Raw genomic sequence first — 22,257 nt, 5'->3', positions numbered from 1 at the left:
AGAGCTAAGATTGCTACAGAAATCTAGACTTTTGAATTTCTAATTTCTTAGTGCTTAATTTATCATTAAATCTGATATTGTTGCAGAGATGATATTAATATATGTTTGATTCCTACCATGAATACCACAACATTTTGATGTCTTAGAATGCAGTGAATGATACACTTCACTCAACAGACATCATTACATGCTTACTGGGTTAGGCACCGTGCTAGAACCTGATAATACTTGGCTGGAAAAAATGGCTGTGCTGTCAAGTAATGCATACTCTGTGTAAGAGATAGAGATGTCAACAGATGGTTATAACGTAGTGAGATAATTGGTATCAGAGATATGTAAAAAGTACTTTTAGGAGCACAGAGGAAGCTATCGCTAATATGCCTGTGGTTGACTTTAGTGTGGTATTCAGGAAGGCTTCTCAGTGGAGGTGGAATTTTGCTTACTGACTTTTTTTCCATTTTAAAGAAATGTAACAGTGGCTTTTCAAATAATATATAGAAAGATGAAGTATATATTTTTCTTGTCTTTACATATTGATATGTACTTATGATGAGAGAGAACAAGTTTTCTGTGTAGGATGCTGAGTTGTTCAAGATTCATTAGTGTAATTTCTCAGATACACTGCCTTTGACAAATGTGCACAGCCGGGAAAGCCTTTAATATATTGATTATGTTAGTGTTTTGTTGCTAGTAGCATAATGGATAAAGCAAAGGCCCCATTTTCATTCTTCTGTGCTCTACCAAAAAAGAAAAAAAAGTATCTTGTAAACTGTGAAAGGCACACAAAAGCAGAAGTAATTAAATAATGTAAATGATGAGGGAGATTGCCTGTGATCTGGGCTACAATTAGAAAGGGGGGTGTAAGAAAGAGATTGTTTGAGAGGAAATGATATGAAAATATTTTAAAATAGGAAACAGAGTTCTGTTTTATAATAATAGATTATCAATTTAAGCAATTTCACTTTCCTTTGTATTACTTTCACATTTGCAATGGAGGAGAAGGGAAGTACTATTAATCTGAAATTTTCCTTATTAGTAAGTAGTACCAGTGATCAGAACAAAATTTGTTTCTTAAACTCCTAAATGTGTGTAGTTTTACTGTAAAAAGTCTTCACTTCAGAGTGATTAGTACTTTGTGTGAATATCATTATGCATTTTGCTCTGTGATATCTTGACAATACAGTTTAGCTTATTCCCTCTGGGATTCTCTCCTGGCAACAATTTTTTATTTCCCTGTGTTCATTTTTAGGAAAATCCTCTCAACATTGTTATAAGTATTATTTTATAGGAAGGAAGTATGTAAAATACTCTTGAACTCATTTTACTTGTGAGTTTGAATAGCATTCAGATTAGAATGATTTCCCCAGAATTTTGTAGGCTTGCCCAATCCAGCTGTATATTTTATATGCTAATGTAAATTCTATTTTTGTTCCCCTTGGGGGTTTAAGTGATTATAATTGTTGCTCTTCAAAAGCCAAACAGATGATGATTGCTGCTTCAGGAGTATACCAAAAGAAACTGGCTTTCATTAAACCTGCTCATCCACTTCCTAATTATCTCCATTTTATCTAGCTAAGAAGCAGGAAAAAATGGCAAGTACAGTTCATTGAAGCCAGTTCAGTTATTTAAACATCGCTTTATTGAACTAGCAGGAGGTGTTAAAGTAGGGGGAATGTTTTCATTCTAACACTGATATGTAGCCAGTGGCCCAACTCAAGAGTCAGTTGAGCATCAAATGCCAGAGGCCATAGAGAATGAGAAGGGAGAGATTTTGAGTTATTCTGAGAGGAGTCCTCTAGTGGATACAATAAATAGTGCTGCAGTGACAGCTATTCTGAAATATTCTTTTTGTTTGTTTTTCTTCCTATAAAATCAAAATGGAGTTAGCTATTTAGTATCCACTAAGAAGCACTCAGAAATGCACTTTGAGTGAAAAGGAAATTTCCTATATATATGAAAAAAAGAGATATATATTGATAAATTCTAAAAGGACACCAAATTCCTAAGACTGGCCAGTATCAAGGGTGCTTCAGGTCACTTAAGCCTTGAGATCTGGCCATGAGTCAGAAAGTAGATTCTCAGGGAGGCTGGTTTTCTGCAACAGGGAGACTATCTCTACCATTTGGGCAACAGTGGCTCTGAGTTATCTGTTCTCCAGTCCTCTAGGGTGGCCTTGGAGTTGAGTTGCACTGGAACATGTTTCTGACCCCTTTACTGGCTGTCCTCCTGATGGCAGAGAGGGTCCTTGAACTCTCACTCAGGGGAACAGAAAAATGTCAGAGTCAACAGCTGTTCAGCTTCCAGCTGTGAGAATGCAATTCTCTGCTGGTTAAACGAAAAACTCTGAAGGGGCTCTCTCCTCTCTGAAATTTCAAAGAGCCACGTTTTGGAAACCAATTGTCTAAGGTGAGACTTAGATAAAACATTATATTCATAAACAAAAAACGAAATGGAAGGTTCTGCATTTTCTGTAGATTTTCATTTTCATGTTCCATGATATTTCAGCAAGTGTCAGGCAATTTCACTTTTTGAAGTTTTAACATAGAGTTGTTATCTGATGAGTTGATTTTGAAACTTTCGAGAATCATATTGAAAAAGAAAAAGTTTACTTAATTTTAAAAAAGGAAATATGTTCCTGACAGGCATTTGTATAATTTACTAGAAAGTTAAATACATTAAAAATTATTTTCCTCTAGTTTCTCATGCCAATAGAAAATTTTCCAGTGTTCATAGATTTACTTTTCTTTTAGCTTTACAATAACCCTACAAAGTAAAACAAGCAAACACTATCATTCACTTTATACATAGATACATAGTGATTCTCAAAAAGTTTAAAAACTAGAATCTGGGCATTCCAACTCTCTCATTGACATCTTGATCAACATCTCCTTGATCTACCAACAGCTTGCCAATACATGATGTTGAATTATATTTACATTGCAGAGTCATTTCTAAACCCCGAGGGTAGGGAGTCCTCAGAGAGTAAGTATTGTCTCAATGAGCCCTTAGGTAATCTATGCGGTTTGCATTCTTAAACCTAGAGAGAGGGTATAACAATTCTTAAACCTAGAGAGAGAGTTTCTCTAGAAACTCTAAAGTAAAAACTCTGTCTGGTGGTGTAGCAGCATTGGAATTTCTCTGAATTCCTGTATAGAGATATGCCAGGGTATAAATCACTCTGGTTTCCTACCAAGAAGGCCTATAAAAGCTGTAAGTCTGAGAATGTACCAGCTGCACCCAGACTTGCCCTAGGCACAAATGGTGGAAACTATCTTGATTGGTTTCCTCACCTCCTCATCATCTTCTCTTGATACTTTTAGGACCTGGCTGTCCTTTGTTCCCCTAGGCTTACGCTGCCACCTCTACTGACATTGCTAATACCCCAGATCTACTAGGACATATCTCTTTCCCTTTCAAGGTAACAGGTTGTTCATCTAATAAATTAATCTCCACTAATGGGAAGATATTAAGGAGAGTCCTGATTTCTGTTAATATTTAAAATTGACTCTCAGGGAAAATGCACGTGTTTCTGTTAGACAATCATGGTGAGTAACTTGTGGGGTGGTCATGTCAGTCCAACGTGTATATTTTTCTGATAGTTTTTTTTCTTAACAGCATGGCACCACCTGATCTCTGTCATTGAGGAGAGTGCATACTTGAAGTAGGACAGTTAGAAATGAACTAACTCAAAAGGAAAATATAACTCTGAAAAAACTGATTAAGTAATTTTGGCTTATTTGCCTATGTTTATTAAATAGAAGTAACAAACATAACAAACACTAAAATATATCTATGCCAGTGGAATGACTGCAATTTCCCGGGGTTATCTCACATGTTGTTTCATTTTACTAACGGGAAGTTGTAGAAAATCACACTTATTCTGTGACCTCATAGCAATATGAATGTAAGTAAAATCTTTTAAAGATATCCTAGTTAAATCTTTTTCAGTATAACACAAAGTATAAAATTGGCAATTAGTCCAATTAATCTGCTCAGCAGAGATAACGGAACCAAAATAGCTCAAGCCACTGTTTAACTCCATGTTAACTGCACCACTGAAAAACCTGTACTGATTTTTGCTCTAAATCAGTTGTTCATCAGAATCACCTGTGGAGCTTTTCATACACATATGTGCTTAGATTACACCTCAGAATTACAGTGAAATCTCTTGAGGTAAAGGGGAGGCATCTGTACTTGAAAAGAAAAAAACCTCACAGGTAGATTGTGTTGCACAGCCATGTGTGAGAATCACTGGGCTTTCCTTTATCCAGTTCTGTCGTCTAATGAAGATTGACTCTGTGCCAGGCACTTGACAAATACTTTAGTCACTTAATGCTCACAACAGCCCTAAAAGGTAGGTTATTTTTAATGCCCATTTTAAGAATGAGAAAGTTGAGGCTTAGAGAGGTTGGGCAACTTGCCCAAAGTCATATACCAAGGACACAGGAGAGGCAGAACCAGAATTCAGGTCTGCGTGAATACTTTTAACCAAGACAACCCTGAACTTGAAAGGCCTTTTTAATATACAGATTGAAAATGTATAGCTGTATTTTATAGCTGTAATTTCCAACCTAGAAGCTTCAATTTTGCTGCTTTGATTACCCTAAGAATATCTGGAGCATACAGGGATTGTTTCATTTTATGGCCTTAAAAGAGAGCCACTATATTCATGTGAAAGAAGACATGGTCTAATAGGTAAAAGATACTTTAAAATTATAGGTAAAATGTTTTGCTTTCTTTATATAAAGGTCACAGATGACTTTCTACCTCAGTTTTTAATTCAGAAACTCAAGGAGCTGCTATAAACTACCTATTAATTTCATTGCAAAAATGATTCAGATATGAGACAGAAGAGCATGATTTTCCTTTCAGGTCAGTTTCTTATAAAAAATTAATAATTGTGTAAAATCATTGCTGATAAATGCAGTTTCCAGTGTGGACTGTGCAATTTTAGGATTTGTTCTTGTTGATTTGGGACTGACACCAATATTTAGAATAGTGATGACTCATGTCTAGGACTGAAATTTGTTTTTCATGGGTTTATACAGTTTTCCTCTTGAATTGCACCAAAAATGGTTTTTTAATTGGCTTTAACTCATGCCCAATAAATTGGACGAAAATTGATTGCCGCAGTCATGTTTGGTTTAAAATTATTCAGGACTGCGCCATGAGTCAAATGAGTGCATGAGTGAGGGCAGCGGCACTTTATGTCCTCTATATATGACAAATAAGTTTTTTTTTTTCAAAACAGTCGTCATTCATATCTGAAAATTAATATATGTCTGTGGTTTATAAAACTTAAAAGATAACAGAACACATTAAAATACATCATATTAAAAAATAAGTTTCTGTTATTTTGGTATTTTTTCTTAGTACCTTCTTTTCCAGTTCTACCAATGTCATAAATCTAATAAGATAAATAATACTTGTTAGATAGCTCTTGTTAGATTCTTGGTCATGGTATTAGACTATTTCTAAATAGCAAAACAAAATAAGTAAGAATGTTCAGAGACTGCCATCAGTCACAGTTGAGACATTGAGCCAGTTTTCCATTCTCTGAATAGTGATTTTAAAGACAAAAATTAAAGAATATGAAAATTGAATTAACTCAGGTGACTGTTTAGGACACTGAAATAGCAATTCACTAATGGTACCTGTCCGGAAGCCAGTTTTTGTTCAATCTCATTATAATTATTTACTGTATTATGGTTTTCACTTACTTATATGCCATAGAAATATAAGCAAATCACTTTAAGGGTTTTGCTGGCTGGGAATGAAGATTCATTTTATGAGATTCTTGAGCAATTTGAGAAAGGATTTAATAGGGAAAAAGAAATGATTAATTCATCGAAAAGAAGAACATTCCTTGGCCATAATACAGATAGTCAGTAAGGGAAGGAAACACTTTATGTTATTGTATATAATTAATATTAGGCAATTTTAATTGGACAGGATAGTTATACCTGATATTGTTGTCTAAAAAAATGGTAGAGCAATTTCTGAGATTTTTGTCATATCTATTTTTCATGTGTATTAAATCTCAATTTTTTAGAAGTGAATATTATTTTGTTTATAAACTGAAAAGCTCAAGGGGTATTATTCTGACCTCTCTCTTTATCTAAGTTGTCTTTTAAGAGGTCACTGGTCCTTACCATCCAGCATCTAGCACCTGTTCCCACCTGGTGGCTATAGGCCCTCAAGCTTGAGCTGTAGAGTTTTTTCTTTCTGAAACAATAAACTACCTGTTTTTCTGACTTATGAAAAAGAATGCGTGCTCAAAATTTTTACAAACCCAATAATGCAGAAAATGTAAAAAAAAAAGTAACTATAAATCCAACTCCCATTACCTCAAAATAGCCATTGTTTAATGTTCTAGTAAACATCCTTTATGTGATGTTTAATATGCTTAATAATATTTCATAAATATCTTCACATTTCATTAAATAATAAACACTATTTTTAATGGCTTTATAACTGTTTACTATATGTTTATGGAGGAGACTGCTTAAAATATGTAAAAGCTAAATAATTAAACTGCAAAACAATGTTACCCGCTGGTTGGAACAGCCAAGGACATCTTATATAAAATATTTCTCAAAATCCTATTATATTTGACCTGAATCTTTTTAAAGGAATAAATCATCCAACTATAAATTTTCTCTCTCTTCTATTTGTCAGCAGTAGAGAGCACGGCAAGGTATAAGAGTATGATTATTTCTGAAATGAAAAGTAGAGCTTTATCTGTTTATGTTCATCGTAATATCTGTTTTCTAGAGGCTTTTGTTCTCTTGCAAGTGTTATGTCATCTGTAATTTCTGTTGTATTTCTTTAAAATTACAAAATTGTACATCTGGAAGTACCTTAAAGGTACTCCAATAAATAGTGGCTAAGGACTTGGGCTCTAGAAACAGCCTATTTAGGGCGAAATCCCAGCTCTTTTAATTTCTAGCTGTGTTATCTTGGGCAAATTACTTAACTTCCTCAGTTTCCTTATCTGTAAAATGATGAGATTCTTGTGAGAGTTAACTGATTTAATGCATGTAGAGGATTAGAATGCCACCTAGCATACACTATTATTACTAATCTAGTCTTCTCCTGGGAATCATGAAGTTTAGTCAGAGTGACTTTCTGAAGAGAATCAGCTAGTTAGCGGGATAAATAATACTAGGACTCATGCCTCCTTGCTCCACATCTAGAGATCTTTGCTTAGTGCCACAGTGCGTACTTTCCCAGCAGTGTTTTTAAAGCCCTCCCTTAGGCACAAAGGTATCTTAGAGGCGTCCTGGGCTACGCAGAGCAGCAGCCTGACAGGCTCTTGTCTCTGGTTTCTCTCCCTCACAGCTTCCGTGGGCTCATTGGCTCAGAAACATTATATGCTGAGAGCCCTATCTCTTTCCCAGTGCTGATGGAAATATTTTGGCCATCAAAACACTTTCATTATTGTCAGTGTCATGAACTCTTCTTCTATACCTGTCAGTCTTGTCCTCATATATATTATAGTCTGACCCTGCCTCCTCATTGCAAGGAGTCTTGAATTTTCGACGAAAGCTTCTTAACCCTGCTTATGTGTTGGTTCTAATTCCTCTACCTTTGGGTATCTTTCTGTCTGGCATTTTCTAAAATTCACAGTTGTCAATAGGTGTATCCTGTTTCTAATAGTTGTATATCTGTACTTCCCTCTACTGGCTTTCAAAGCCAGCATAATGTGGTACCACAATACCCAACCAACCTGATTTCCTATGCTTTGTAGCCCACTTCCTCTATTATAGACAGGCTGGTATACTCCAACAAATTCCTGTAATTTTCACCTCTCAACCTCCTTTTATTTGCTCTAAACCACACCCACACAAACACACACACACACATGCATGCACACACACCCAATTGAGATTTATATAAAGATCTTTTAAAAGCGAGGACTGAACACTGTAATATATATGAATATTTTCCTCTTTTATACAAACCTTACAAAGAGGCTCAAACTTTCATGTATCCTTTTGATATGACTAATATGGAGACACATGTATCTTCACATTCATTTTATATCTAGAAATATTAGTATTCTAGAATACATCAGTACTCTATAAGTTAAATAATAAGCACTGACATAAAAGAAAGTTTTTTATTGTTTGCACAAGGAACCTAGAAATATCATCTACAGGAAAAAATTCACAGTAAATTGTGTGAAAATAATTCAAGGAAATGTCTATTTGTTACTCATACAGCTTAAACAGTCTGTAATGCCATTCATTTATGTGACATCTTCCAACTCATGTTTACAAAAACTGACATTTCAAGCAACCATATTCTCTAATTTCTCATACTAGAATGACAATGACCAAAGGTATAAAATATTATTTCTATTACGACAGTATCTTCAGCCTTAAAATACACATACATAATGCTCCATCAGAGAAATGGATTTTGTATTTAATCACATCAACATGAAGAGTTAAGAGGGGTTAGTGTGAAATGGCAATAAACAGCAGCACTGGCTGTTCTGTGTTTATGCATATGTGTTTCTTCTTGGTGCTAATTACACTTGCTCATAGAAGTCTGGCAGTCAGATGACTGGGCTTGACCTTGAGTGGGTCAATTTTATCAAATTATATGATACATTTAAGATGCAGACAGACGCCTATTGAAGCTTGAAATAAAAACATTAAGTCTGTTTTCTATTGTTACCTACAATGAATTTAGATCTCTAAAAGTTTAAGGTTCATTCTTTTATCAGACTGCAAAATGTTGTTTCCTTCCATTTCACTTACTCACTGAAAGACCACAGCTATAGCTCCATCTATATGAATTCATAGCAATGTAAGCCCAGGAGGGAACTGCAAAACTATAAACCATAAGCAAGTTTTAGTGTTCTTCTGATATTCTATGTTTTATAATGTCAAGTAGACATTAGTTATACATTTTGTTTTATTCAAAACAATACATTATAAAAAGCCCTTTATATAGTCTACCTCTATATTCCTTTAGATATTTATTTTGATAGATTTTTCAAGCACAATCTAAATAGAAAACTAGAGCAGAAAATACTGTTAGCCTATGTAAATGGAATAAAGATAATAGCCTATAAAAATATAAGTGGAGATGGAAGAATGAGCCTAGGGAGAGGTGAGTGATAAGTAGATTGGAACTGGTTCCTTTCAAGGCCATAAATGAGTAATAACCTTTAAAATCTTCCCTTAGAAATTAACACAGAATGATAAATAAGAATAATGTATGCATATATAAAATTGAATAATAAAAGTGTCTCAACATAAAATCAAAATATTTTCATTTGATTAGACTGTGATGGTATATATTTGACTCATTGATTTCATCAAGTGATTAACTGAATTATAAGCTATACTTAATGCCAAACACTAATGTTTGAGCCTAACTAAAGTAACAATAGCCATAATTAATGCCAGAGAGAGTAACAGATTGCAGAAAGACTGACATCCGGGAAAACTATCTCTATGAACCTTAGAAATGTTACCTAAATTCCTAATGCCTCTGTTATGCCCCCTGAAAATGAGAAATACTTTATGTCCTTCTATACCTCCTGGGGTTACAATGATAAATATGTAAAAGTACATTGAGCTTTTTGTGATAAAAGGTACTATAAAAATCTAAGGTGTTTTTATTATTATATCAGTCAAATGGGATCTCAGACTCAGTTCCATTTTGAAGACCCACAACTTTTTATGGGTGAATCATGAAATTGTATTGGGAAATATATTGAAGTCACATAACAGGGCAGATAGATGATTTTATGCCTTTTGGCGCCTTTTAAACTTGGTTGCAATTAGAAATGTGAGAGAATATTTATCATGAAATATGTCAGTTGGGACATTAATGAGAGCTAATGAAAATATTTAAGAGACAGTATGCAAAGGCAGGAATTCTAATTCTGGCTCCATCAAATAAATGTGATAGGTTACCATTTTTGTTCTCATAATTGTAGTTACCATCTATTGACTGCTTCCTCCATGTCAGGAAGTTTTGAGTATTTTATACTTATGATTACATCTAACCTCACAGTGATTCTAAATTAGGCATTATTATCACAATTTTATAGATTAGAAAATCAAGGTTTAGAAGCAATAAAGTAACTTGTCCAAGGACCCGTGAAATCAGGTTCAAATCCATGTGTCTGAAGTCAAAACCCAAGCCATTAACAATTTGCAAAACTGTAGCTCCTAGAAGGATAATATCCCTTCTATGATGTTCCTATATAAAGGAGTAATTTTTTGACAAGTTATATTATTTTAAAAAGTGATATTGTACAAAAATTTATAAGGATAAACAATAACAACAACATAAACCAGACACATTGTGAATATGTATTATGCAACATATTAACTGAGTTATTTAAACCCCTCAAGTTTTCCATTTACTATCATTTCGTAAAATATAATCTGATTTCCTTCAAGCATTTATTGTCTCTAATCTAATTTTGTTATTCTGGCACATGCTAGGCACTCAAAGGATGCTGAACCAAATTGAAATGGGCCTTTTGTCAAAGATTAGGAAAAATATTTAGAAATAGGAAGTGATTATGTATTGCTCATTTCACTCTTACCTGATGATAAATGTTATATCTGGAAGGACATAATTAGTTATGTGTGATATTTTTGGTAATAGAATTATAATCAGTCATTAAACAAAAACATGAAGACTTTTGGATATTTCAAAAGCTTCCAACATTTTTGCCTTAATACATCATAGGAAGATTGTTTGCTTTAAAAATATAATATGCCATTTCTCACAGAGGGGGATTAATAATTGAAAATCATTTAAAAAACTAACTTCACATTTTTGGTTATTTTTTATTTTTCATCATTTATAATGAATTGCTATGCCTTTAGAAACCATATGTAGCATTCATTTTGTGACAAAAATTTATAAAAAAACAAGATTATTTTTATACTAATTTCATGCTAAAAGATTTTATGTTCATAATGAAAATGTCACTTCTTAAAATTATCTTAGTTTTGAAATGCTATAATTTAAATTTATAAAATATCTTTTTTCACATTTCAAACTTGGTGACAGTGTATCTTTTCATCTGTATGCAAATTAACATCTTAAAAAAGTCTTATCTGTATTAAAGAACAGTTTAAGCTGTCCATTGTGTGCATATTTTCAATTTGATTAAGAAAAAAATAAAAATCATAGCTTAAGGGGCTTATTAAAGCTGGTAATTCAAACTTGTTTTCTAACAAGCAGAAAAATATCTTGTTATGGGATTATTGGAGATAATATAATACTGCCTAAAATGCTGGAATTCATTAAAATAATATTTCTTAATATACATATATAGTAGCCATTATTTAAACCAATATAACTTTATGGAAAATAATGGTATGGAAAGGAAAAGTTAGCTTACATAACCATAAATTTCTCTCTCATTAAAGGATACACAAAGCACTAATTCATCCATACACTTAAATTTAAAAGAATAAAAAAAACGCAAACACCTCTTTTTTTGTTAGATATGAAGGATTTTTGCATGTAACAATTCAACAGAAATGTCTTTGAGATTTCATGACCTATATTTATTTGCTTACTAACCTATGAATAATCAAATAACAATTTCCAAGTTTATAATTGTTTTTAATTCAAGTAGTTTAATAGTTGCTAAAATTTATGATAGCATGTTAAAATTTTTCTCACTTTTTCCAACAAGTTCATTTTTTATTTTTGCTTATCCTAAAGTGATATAAGCCTTTATATTGTCAGTTAAATGCATTCTGAGATCGATCACATTTTTGAAGTTAAACAAAATAAAAATTGATTCATTTTCTAAAGCTGTATTAACTATGTGTTGTCGGCTGAAGGTAACTTTTTATAAATGTTTCTAAGACTTAAAATGTAAATGCCCTTGTGGAAAATGCCATGTATCTTCTCATACTTGCTATCCACCTCATAAATGGACACCAACGAACTTGCAATTCACTTAAGACACAAAGAACAAGGTACAACACTAAGACATTAGTGAATCAAGATGACAGTGTCACTGGCTATATGCTGGTCATTACATATATTAAATATTTGTGAAAAAAATCTATTTAAATAATGCATAAAATTTCAAACCTCATATCCAAAAGAGCAGACAGAAAAATGTAGATATAAAGTGTGCGGTAAGAATCAGGTATGTGTTAGAGTACATACCTGGGATTTTTTTTTGTTTCCTGTATTATCCTATAGTAATTACCTGGGTAAAGGGAGGAGGGAGTTGAAAAATAACTGTTATTCCTGTAAGTAGCTATGTAGATTCTTTCCTGTGGATGACAACTTCTTAGGCTATTCTAAAAATCATTCTGGAATCTCTCCCGTGGCCCTATCACTTCAGCCAAAAGGCCAGGTTAACTTCAATTTATGGTAACTCCTCTGTATCCGGTTGATCTGCTTTTCTTACAATGAAAGGAAAACTTTACAGTCCATTTGATATCCACTTCCTCTCACCCCTGCTCAGATAAAGACGGAATTCCCTTTTATACCAGATTGGTTTAAATTGTTCCTTGATCTCTTATCACACCAAACTTTACACAACTCCATACTGTACTTTTCAAATTGTTTATTCATAGTAGCTATGATTAGGAATCATGGCCAGATGCTGTGTCCCTTTTCCACTTCTCCTCACAGCTTCCCTTCCCCAAATAATTTTTAAGCCCCGTGGGCTTTTTCTTCTCTCTCACTGCCCCCTCCCACTACATTTTTTTTTTTTAAACAATATTCCATTCCAGGCGCCCCCTCTGCCTGCCGAAAGCATTTTAATGCAGTTTACTTCAGCGGTCTATCAGCAGACTGCTGCCTCTGCCACCTGAATTTCAATTTCTTAATTTACAGCCCAGATAGAATGGAGCAGGATCTGGGCTTCTCTCTACATTGGGTTGGCCTTATCAAGCGTGAAGTTTGGCGCATTGCAAACCTATTCAAGTGATTATCTGTTGAGGACCTCTCAAGCCATCTCCATCTCTGCAGCGGGCTGATAAGACAGCTGTTTCTCTAGCCGCTGTGTCTCCCCGGGCCTCAGTCTTCTTCTGATACAAACTCCGCCTTTGTCACCGTGGCCCGGTGCCGGCACTTGCTCTGTGGGACAAGGGTTTGATCTGAACACACGTGGGGGTAAAAGTGTGAGCGCGTGTGAGAGCCGAGGAGGGAGGAAGGAAGACGGGGAGGGCCAGGAGAGTGAGAGGGGGAGGAGGAGGGAAAGAGTTAGAGACCGGAGGGAGGTGGGGGGCAGGGCGGCGTGCGGAGCGCCCTGGATGGCTCTGATTGACTGGTTGCTCAGCCCGGTTTTATTATTTCAAATTAGACGTGCATCGCACACAAGTGGAAACATAAATCTTCAATATAAGAAAGAGCCTCCGAGCATCGGAAGCATAAAAACCGTTTCTTCCCAGGTCCCGGTAAAGGGGCCAGAGAAAAGACTGATTACTATCAGCTGAGACAGATGGTTTCCTTTAACTTTGGAAACTGTTATTTTTAATTGCTTGTATTAATTTTGCATGAGATGTATCGGCTCCAGGGGGAAGCTTAAAGAAGGCTGTTAGTATCCCTGAAAGAAACGGACATAAGTCTCTGATTTGCCCTTTTTCACCTCCGGGTTTTTTGGGGTTTTTTTTCCTTCACCCTCGCCTAGTCGCCTAGATTTTCCCTTTTTATGCTCAGGAAAAACGTGAGTTTATCCTCCTAAAAGTTGCTATTGAGTAAAAGAGGGGAAGGAAATCTGGGGACATTTGTGGGAGCGTCTACATAAAATAATCGTCGATCTGAGGCTGCAAATATATTTTCCTAGACACTCTGGGACATGTGCAACAGATCTTAGTCTGAATATCTGCAGGCAAATCATCTAAAGGAGAATGAACCTCATACATTGGTCCAGGAAAAAAAAAAAAAAGGTGTGTGTGTGTGTGTGTGTGTGTAAGTGGGGGGCTGGGAAGGGAGAACCAACCTAGGCTGGTCTCAAAGATTTACCGCGACACTAGTTACATTTTTTAAAAGAACATTTAAATGAACAATTCATGTGTCTTTAAGTGTAAACAGCAACCTCAGGATTCGGGGGGAATATTCCTTGAGTGTGCTCTCTTACTTTACAGTCTTTCCCCCTTGAACAGGAGTTTACAGACACAATGTAAAGAGAAAGTAAAGGATGTTTGAGATCCCGCTCACTGCCGCCCCTGGCACTGTCCCTAACGAAAGTGTTTGCAATGTAAAGAATCTTTCGCAAAATAGTCTTGGGAGTCACTCACCTTCCAGTAAAAGGCTTTACCCCTTTGCTAGGGGGTGGAGGGAGCAGGGAGAAGAACGGGGGGAGGGAGCAAGGGTGAGCAGGCAGGCATTTTTGCTGCAATTCCAGCTGGGATATTCGAGGATTAAAAACTCTGGAGCAGGTTTACCAGACTTTTCGAAGACTACCTGGATTTGCATTTATTTTTCATGAACACTCTGAAGAAAGGCGAGCTCACGCCGGCAAGGGAGTGTATGTAAAACAGGACAGTGGAAGGTGCACAGCGAGTTCGGGGCTCTAAGTCTCCTGACAGTTTGTCATGATGGCTGAGTCCTAAGAAATGCCAGCCTAATTCAAAATAAATGAGTTTCTGTGGAGTAGGACAGTCTTTTCCGCAAAGTCCCGTGGAATAAAACATTCCCAAGACACGCAGTTTCCGTGTCTCACAGAAAGGGACAGAAAACACCGTCTCAAGCTTTGCAAATCTTAATTTGAGGGCTGCTCGTCTCTGTCCATGGTGCTAATTCCTGCCTCTTTCTCTTGCGTGGTTGCCACGGTATAAATTCACACTGGTGTCAATTTTCACAACTTTTCCCCCCTTTCGGTGAAAGGCAAGTCCACATACTACTTTAGGAAGAATAAATAAAAGAGTAATCAGCAAGATATATGATATCTGTATTTCTCATGCAGACATTAAACTATCATATTTCCAATAGTATGAACCATAACCCCCTACTCCACCATACTAACACATAACATTTTTATTCATCTAAGAAGGTTTACTGTTGGAAATTACTGCCTTAAGCCAAACATTGTAAACTAATTTTAATAGTTTAACTTCTTTATTTACTTACAAAACGTTACAAGTAGTTTACAGTAACTTTTATTACAAAATGTAAAATCACTCCTTCCCTTGCTCCCAGGACCTCTAGTGTAAGGGAGTTATTTATCCTAAAAGACATTTTCCACAACAGCTTTGCATATTCTTATGAATAAATGTTCTCTTATATAGAAACTTCAGTAAAATAATTAAATTCATGACTTTTTCGGTTTTGAGAACTATTCTTTTGCAACTTTATCCACCTCACACTTTTGCTCCAAGTTCGCAGTCATTCCCTTCATCTCTCCCTTTTCTGCTGCAATTCAAAATAATGCCAGGAACTTGGAAGATATGTCAGAGTTCATATAACTTAATCATATTCAAATGTCTTTTAAATACTTTCTAATGCAAATTCAGATGTTGTGGATAATTCTTTTACCAAACTATGAGTGAAAAGGGGTTGATTGCATTTTTTGCTTATTCTTAAGTGAGATGTTTGCACATAGGCTTCATTAATTAATCATAGGATAGTATGTATTTGTTAATGTTTCAAGCTATGAGACATGAATTTCAAAGTGAAATCTACATCCAGATATCACTTGTTTTAAAGAGGCTGTAATCAATATTTTTTATTTTTAAAAGTTGAAAAAGTACATGTTGCTTATAATACATCTATCCATTTAAAAGTTTTAAAATGTAAAAACATCTGTTTTAATGAGGAAGTAAAATAATATTTTAAGATACTTTCACTTTTTAAATAATTTAAGTCCATCTCACCTACATAAAAAGACAACATGTTAGGGATGACAATACTTTGAATAATATTTTGTCACTATGCCCAAGCTGAAAAAAAACCATAAATACTGAATCTACAGAATTTAGCATTTTTCATTTGAATGAACAAGTTTACTATTTTCCATGTAATTTCTTTACATAATACACATGCTAGATTTTTATTACTCCATATCACTCCCAGCTTTTCACACCTGTCCCTATCATTTTGGGTTATCTACAGATATCACAGTTATCTACAAGTCTTTTTTTGTGGATATAAACATGCACCAAAAAAAGTATTAGTTTCCACCTAGTTAGAAGGCACTTATATAATTATAATGGTAAAGATTTACTTCAATGTACTGAAATTATATGGGCATATGCAACTAATTCAATATTAACCTACGAGCATGGTAAAAAGGAGGAAAGACAATTCACTGCCTAGGTAAGTCTGATGAAATCAAACAGTATTATACTTTCCCCAAATTGTATTCATTTAAAGGTTATTTCTCTGTATGGAGCTGGGGACAAGGGGAGGGGTTGAAGGAAGATGACTACAAACCCAATCTTCTGTTATTCATACATCTAGTCTAGATGGGGTGGAGTCTTCCTTTTCCCCCTTGACTCCATTTCTTCAAAGTGCTTTTCTTTCTTCTTGCTGTGAGTTTCACCCAGGTCTAGAGAATAGTTTTAAGTTGAAATTAAGACTCCAGAGGTTGTTATACAAAAACTGGGGGTGGAGGTTAAGGCATGATTTTATAAACACTAATTATAAGATAACATAGATTCAGGCCTTCTTTCTCAAGCCCCAGGTATTGTCATGCAAAGTAACAGAACTCGTATATTGTTATACAGGCTACACGGGAGATAAACAGGTCTGTTTTTCACCATTAATCATTTATCAACACTCAAGGACACTCTCAAAGAACACTGATTTACTGTATTCCTCACTTCAAAGTCATTTTGCTTTGGGATCTTCTGTCCCATTCCCCTCCATGACACCCTACCCTTTTGCAATCTCTAACTCTTACCTGTGTCTTCTTTTTCCGGCATTCTCAAAGATAGCGACTAGTTGTAAATATGTAAAGGAATCCCTTTCAAAAAGGCATGTGCCTCTGGTTAAGACACATTACATGTGTAATGTAATGTGTACATTACATTTACACATTCTGGTAAGAATGGTAAAAACTGTCTAGGAAGTTGGTGCTATCTTTCAAGATTGAAAAGAGAAATGCTGGCTGGAAAAGAACGTAGGTCAAATGAATATTGTGTCTACTTATACATCCAGACGATCCTGAGGACCTCACTTTCACTTAGAGGAAGAAACAATTATCATGCATAAAACTGTATTTTGGTCTCCTGAATGCTGTTAAAATATGGGGTTGTAATAAAGTAGTCTTCCTCTATGAAGCAGAAGCATTGATAGCACTTGGTCTTCTGGTTAAACTTCTTAAATCCTCACAGAAAGAGCCCTGATAAAGGTTCAACTATCTTTGCTGTCAGCAATACATGTGTGGTCCAAGGACTGTACCTGTCTGCAAATGCAGAGGAGTGGCTTGTTCCAGTTTTATATACAGCTGCTCTTTTTGAGAATCATTAGACACCTCGAAGTGAAGGACCTTAGCTCTACTCAATACCTCTTTTTCTGGATAGGATATTTATCCTACACTTTTCTATTCTAACATGAAGTGAAAGCCAATTCAAACCGTGCAGCTTTATTTGAGAGCATTTCTGACTTCATCTTTATCTTAAAAGGATGCTTTAAAAAGGGGTTCATGGGGACACATAAATCTGAAATATGCGTATATTAAAATAAAGACATACAATTACCTAACATCTAATACAAAATACAGTACTGAACACAAATCGAAAAAAGGCATGCGGGCAAATAATGGATGTACATTCATCCCTTTCACTCAGATCAAAGAGAGGGAGCTCTCAATGACTCATACATACCGGACAGAGTTAAATGTTATAAAGAAATATGCCACAGATGCAGCAGTGATGGCAAAGGAAATGAATCTTTCTGAAGCAGAAAGATTTAAGAGGAAAGGAGATCGTGCCATATCGCAAACTCTGATAGTACAGTTCCAACCCTCCCACGTTGCTCTCTCCACATTTCTTTTTGCTTCTTGCATTTCCCTTCGCCGCCAGTGTTAAGAGTGTACCTCCCCGCACAACTTACCTTGAAACGGGACTCCATTGAGCTCTCGAGAGTGACACAAGCCCATAGCCAATCGTCTCACGCGGCCCCGCCTGGGCGGCCTCAATGGAAGCGTGTGGACCAATCAGGATCCTGGGGCGATGAGCAAGTTACGTTGTGGCGCGATTCGGCGTATACTTCCGCGCGTGCTGCCCGGGATAGGAGCCTGGCAGAGCAGCTGCACACACGGCAGTGCGGAGGCAGAGAAGGGGTTGGTGATACGGTGCTATAAATCTGTGGTCCAGTCCACCTCCCTTTTAAGACGTCCTCCCCCCTATTTCTGTTCTTAGTTAGAGATGCAGCAGCTTACTCCTGTAGCGACCTACTAAAAAGCAACAAGGAGAAAGACATCGTCTTTTTGAAAAAACGTTCTTTCGTCTCTTTTCTTTGTTCCTTGGTTTGTTTTTCTTGCCCCTTTTTGTTTAGTTGAACGGCAATAGGAGGGTAGTCTCTCCGTCTTTTTAAACTCTTTTTTAAGTTTCCCCTCCCCTTTCATATTTTTTTTCGCCATTTCTTTTAGCATTGGACTTTGGGGTCGAAAGCGTTTCTTTTTATTTGCTTCTTTTAAGCCGAGCACAGTTTAGGTTTCGTGCTGTCTTAAGAGAACTATCCAGCAGCTTCTTGCTCATCCTTATTGGGAGAACTGCACCGTTACTTTAAAAACACACATACACAAAAACCTTAAGGGAGAAAGGTAAGTTTCGGTTTGGTTTCTTTAATCATTAGTTGCAGCGATGCGCTGGCAAACCCAGAAAACCTGTAAGTGAGCGGAATACAGAATATGAAGTTAATTGCACATGTTTGTCTCATTTCAAAGCTACTGTTCTGCTTTTTTAATTTTAAAGAGCTAGACTAAAAGACGGTGGACGCATGCTTAGCGTACTGAATATTCGTAAATGTCCATGGCAGAAACTTAAGTGGTAAATGTGGCCAGGGGGGAGTAGGGGTACAATGGGAGGTTAGATGTGGAGTGAGCTTCAAGATTGAGATCGGAAGTTCATTTCGTGGGGAGAGAGTGATAACTTGGGTGTTGGGGATGCATGCCTCTACTTTGGCTCAGCAACGGAAGGACGGGAGAGGCTTTACAATCATTAAGGGGAATCAGAAGCCTGGACTGGCAGATTAGACCAGCGAAAACCACAGGCTTAATTGCATTAACCAGATAGCATGTGCTGGGGAGATGGGATTGCCAGATGGAATTTAGATGCTGCACCAGGCAGCGAGTTGTAGTTGACTGAAAAAAGTACATGCCGCCTGAGGGCTGGGGCTGGGGCTGGGCTGAGGCTAGGGTTGTTAGAAGCTGTCAGAACTCATCATTGTATGCGGGCTCTGATTCACGGACTCCAATTATCATAATTCAGTTTTAAAAGAAGATAGCCAATTTGGGGCTGAATTCTTAAGCCTGTACCGGATATGAGATTCCCTTTGTTCAGAAAAGCGTAAATAAGATCCTTGGAGCTGTGTCTATGAAGTGCCGGCTGCTTGGGAGCCTCGCTGTGCTGGGCGCTGGGAAGTGGATTCCAAGCCCTGTCCTTGGTCCTACGCGGCTGACTTCGCCTTCGGGGAGAGGGGGAACCCCTCTGCAGCCGCGAGGCTTCGCAGCCACCCCAGGAGCCAACTCGGCCACGTAGCCCTCACCCCCTCCTTACCGCCCCCACTTCCTCGAATAGCTATTGTTAAATTGACGCCAGGAGAAAGATGGTTGGGGATGACAAGCTGGGCAGATAGGCACACGCTTCATTTTAACTTTTGTGATTTCTCAGGGTTTAGGAGAAATCATTTGGCTTTCTACTGCCAAAGAGAGGATCCAGGGTAGATGTGGGAAAGGGGGAGGATGTTCGTGGGCCGGGGAGGGCGGAAGGGGTGGTGGTGGTGGAACAAGCTGCTGGCTTTCCTAAGAGAAGTTTAAATTATTGGCACGAGGGGGTGTGGGTGAGTGTGTGCGTGAGAGCGCTCATGTGGTGCTCGAGAGGCAGAGGATGGGAAAAAGCTACAAAGCCGGCTGGGGTTAACGTCTCGTTGCTCCTCACCCCACCCACTCTACCGGCTGGGAAAGCCAGCGCACCGTCAGCCTCCCGGACTGGACTCTGCGAAGGGCGGTGGGGGCTAGGGATGGCAAGGTGGCAGTGCCCACCACTGGAGCTCCGCGGCGGACGAGACCTCGCGTGGCCATTGTTGCTTAATTTATGCCCAGCACGTTGCTACGTACCCACCTATTTCACGTCTGTACAGAATTAATACGAAAGCTATACAACTGTGACAAATTGGAGGTTGGATAAGTTCCCCGTTTCCCATTTTCAAGTACCGGTTAGCAAAACTGATGGCGAGACTGGGTATTTTCTCGTAATTACCGGCTGCAGGTCTGGTTTTATTATGGCGAGGGTGAGAGAAATAGCCAACCATTTAGTATTTACTGTTAACACTGCTGGACAGGGATGGAGGTCTCTGTACTTTCTCCCCGAAATGCACGGATTCTGTCCCTTCCCCCTCTCATGTACAAACACTCCAGTTGGTTAAGATTCTAAACCTTCAGCCGTTCTCCGCACCCCTATTTATTATACCCATCCTCTGGGGGTGGGAGGGAGATTAATGTTTTATTTCCCAGGCCTACACTATTAACTGCAACCTATAAAACGTAGACTTACAATGAAAATTTTTAGAAAGTACACAGCAGACAATAGTAACTAAAGAAATTATTTTCCAAATTGAAAATCAGTTTCTAAAGGTCAGAAAAAGGGTGTTCGTGTTTTGGGGAACAGAAGGGTAGGAAATGTGTTTGGGCCTTAAGACTTCCTTGTAAAATGGCTTCTTAAATGGGACATCTGAAAGATTTGTCAGACTATGAACAGATAAGCCCGCAAAAAAATATGTTGAGAGTTTCGAAGTTGTTATGGGGTTAACATTTTATTTTTTAACTCTCGCCCTTACTTATTGCTGTCATTGCCTGAATGTGTCTTACAGCAGGCACTTCTTCCCCGTTCCCTCTTTTAACCAAGTGCTTGGGCACCCCGCTTCATAAAGCTAACCTGTTCTGGAGCTCTTCACAAAAAACGCTACGGTTGTAGGAAGAAGTGGTTTGGAAGACTTGGGGAACTCTTCTGAGAGCTCTCCCATAATTTAGTCAGCGTCAGGAAGTAGGGCGTAGGGCATTCTAAGAGTTTTAGGTTTGGATTGACAAATTAAGTAGGCCCATTTTCGCCTAACGTTTTGGAAATAGGCATTTTTAGCAATCCCGCGTGCCTGGGATGAGAATATTATAATTAACTATTTACTGAGAGGTCAAAGAGGCGCAGGCGCTTTGAGCAGTTTTCCCAGGAACCCACACAAAGTCAATTAAGGTCATTTAATTGCAAATCGGATTTGGGGTGACACGGAAATGCTGATATAGAATCAGTTAGCTGTATCCGGTGTCCCCAGACTGGGTCGCACAAATTAAGGGATGGCCTATCTCGCTTTTGACCTTGGTTGAGCCCCCTACTTCACTATGCTGATTAGACTTCGCCCAAGAGGGCAAATTTGCCTCTCCCACACCCGCCCTGGGTTAGACGAGTCCCCTCCCTTCCCCCCAACCCCGCTCCGCCCGTCGCATGGGGGCGGGGAGCGCTGGACGCCCTTAGCGGACCTTGCTGCATCAAACCTGCATCATGCCCTTGAAGCTGTAACCTCGGTCACGTTCTTGCGGCGACTGGGTCGCCCACTGCTCGGTTCCTTTCTCTTACCTCCTACAATTTCAGGTAGGTATGACAGGTGATTTTTTAAATGTAGTATTTTAGGAGAAGGGCTAAAATCGATGCCTTTGCAATGAAAAAAATCCCAACTACAGGTGCTCTCGTAATTAAGCGGCCGAGCAGGTGTAAAAACGTGCTCCAGCCGCGTGGCTCCGGGGTGGGTTTTGACTTCCAGCCGTGGGGCCGGGTCTGAGGACAGGCACAGGTTTTTCTGGGGAAAAGGGATTGAGCTTGGCGAAGGGGCGGGCCAAGGCAAGGCAGCGATGGGACGCCCCCTCGGTGAAGAGTTGGCCATTTCGGGTCTTGAGTTGGGGGGCGATAGAAGGATGCGGCTAGCGGCAAGCGTTTGCATAGTCGAGTGCAGGATTTCCTACTTTGCGTTTGAAGCAGAGTACAGCACCCCGCACAGGTACTCTGGGCTTATTTAAACGTCAGGTTCTCTCTAGAGAGGCAGGGAGGGGCAGCAGGGGGCTAAGCCTTTATTTTCTGTCCAGGGACAGGA

At 37.9% G+C, this 22,257-nt stretch overlaps 1 protein-coding gene and 1 long non-coding RNA gene across 29 annotated transcripts in view, besides 1 other annotated feature; one reads left to right on the top strand and one right to left on the bottom strand.

Annotated features, from left to right (window-relative positions):
• Positions 1–22,257, top strand: part of ELAVL2 (ELAV like RNA binding protein 2) — a 160,498-nt gene that overhangs the window by 6,075 nt on the left and 132,166 nt on the right. For 10 of the 26 annotated variants that reach the window (NM_001351472.2, NM_001351468.2, NM_001351477.2 and 7 more), the window contains exon 1: positions 18,287–18,721. The exons of 9 other annotated variants lie outside the window; for them this stretch is intronic. The gene's annotated coding sequence lies outside the window, so the exon portion shown is untranslated. Of the gene's footprint in view, positions 1–18,286; positions 18,722–21,394; positions 21,762–21,971; positions 22,165–22,257 lie in introns of those variants that run through there. 7 more of the 26 variants (NM_001351478.2, NM_001351473.2, NM_001351469.2 and 4 more) reach the window with 2 other exon arrangements.
• Positions 12,697–13,199: an enhancer, noted in NCBI's record as "NANOG hESC enhancer chr9:23831326-23831828 (GRCh37/hg19 assembly coordinates)". NCBI's record gives its function as "activates a minimal SCP1, AML or CMV promoter by ChIP-STARR-seq in naive and primed H9 embryonic stem cells {active_cell/tissue: H9 hESC(naive and primed)}" and the evidence as "EXISTENCE:reporter gene assay evidence [ECO:0000049][PMID:30033119]".
• On the bottom strand, positions 14,405–18,099 carry LOC105375992 (uncharacterized). 3 transcript variants are annotated; one of them, XR_929519.3, is made up of 3 exons: positions 18,010–18,099; positions 16,387–16,501; positions 14,405–14,854 (listed from the first exon to the last, which is right to left on the bottom strand). It is a non-coding gene; the product is annotated as an uncharacterized LOC105375992 (long non-coding RNA). The 3 variants fall into 3 exon arrangements; XR_929518.3 differs by having other exon boundaries at positions 14,737–14,857; XR_007061895.1 differs by having other exon boundaries at positions 14,405–16,501.

This window comes from Homo sapiens, chromosome 9 (assembly GCF_000001405.40).
Source record: "Homo sapiens chromosome 9, GRCh38.p14 Primary Assembly".
Classification (NCBI taxonomy): Eukaryota; Metazoa; Chordata; class Mammalia; order Primates; family Hominidae; genus Homo; species Homo sapiens.
The sequence above is the reverse complement of the archived record's forward strand: the minus strand, read 5'-3'. Positions and strand labels throughout refer to the sequence as shown.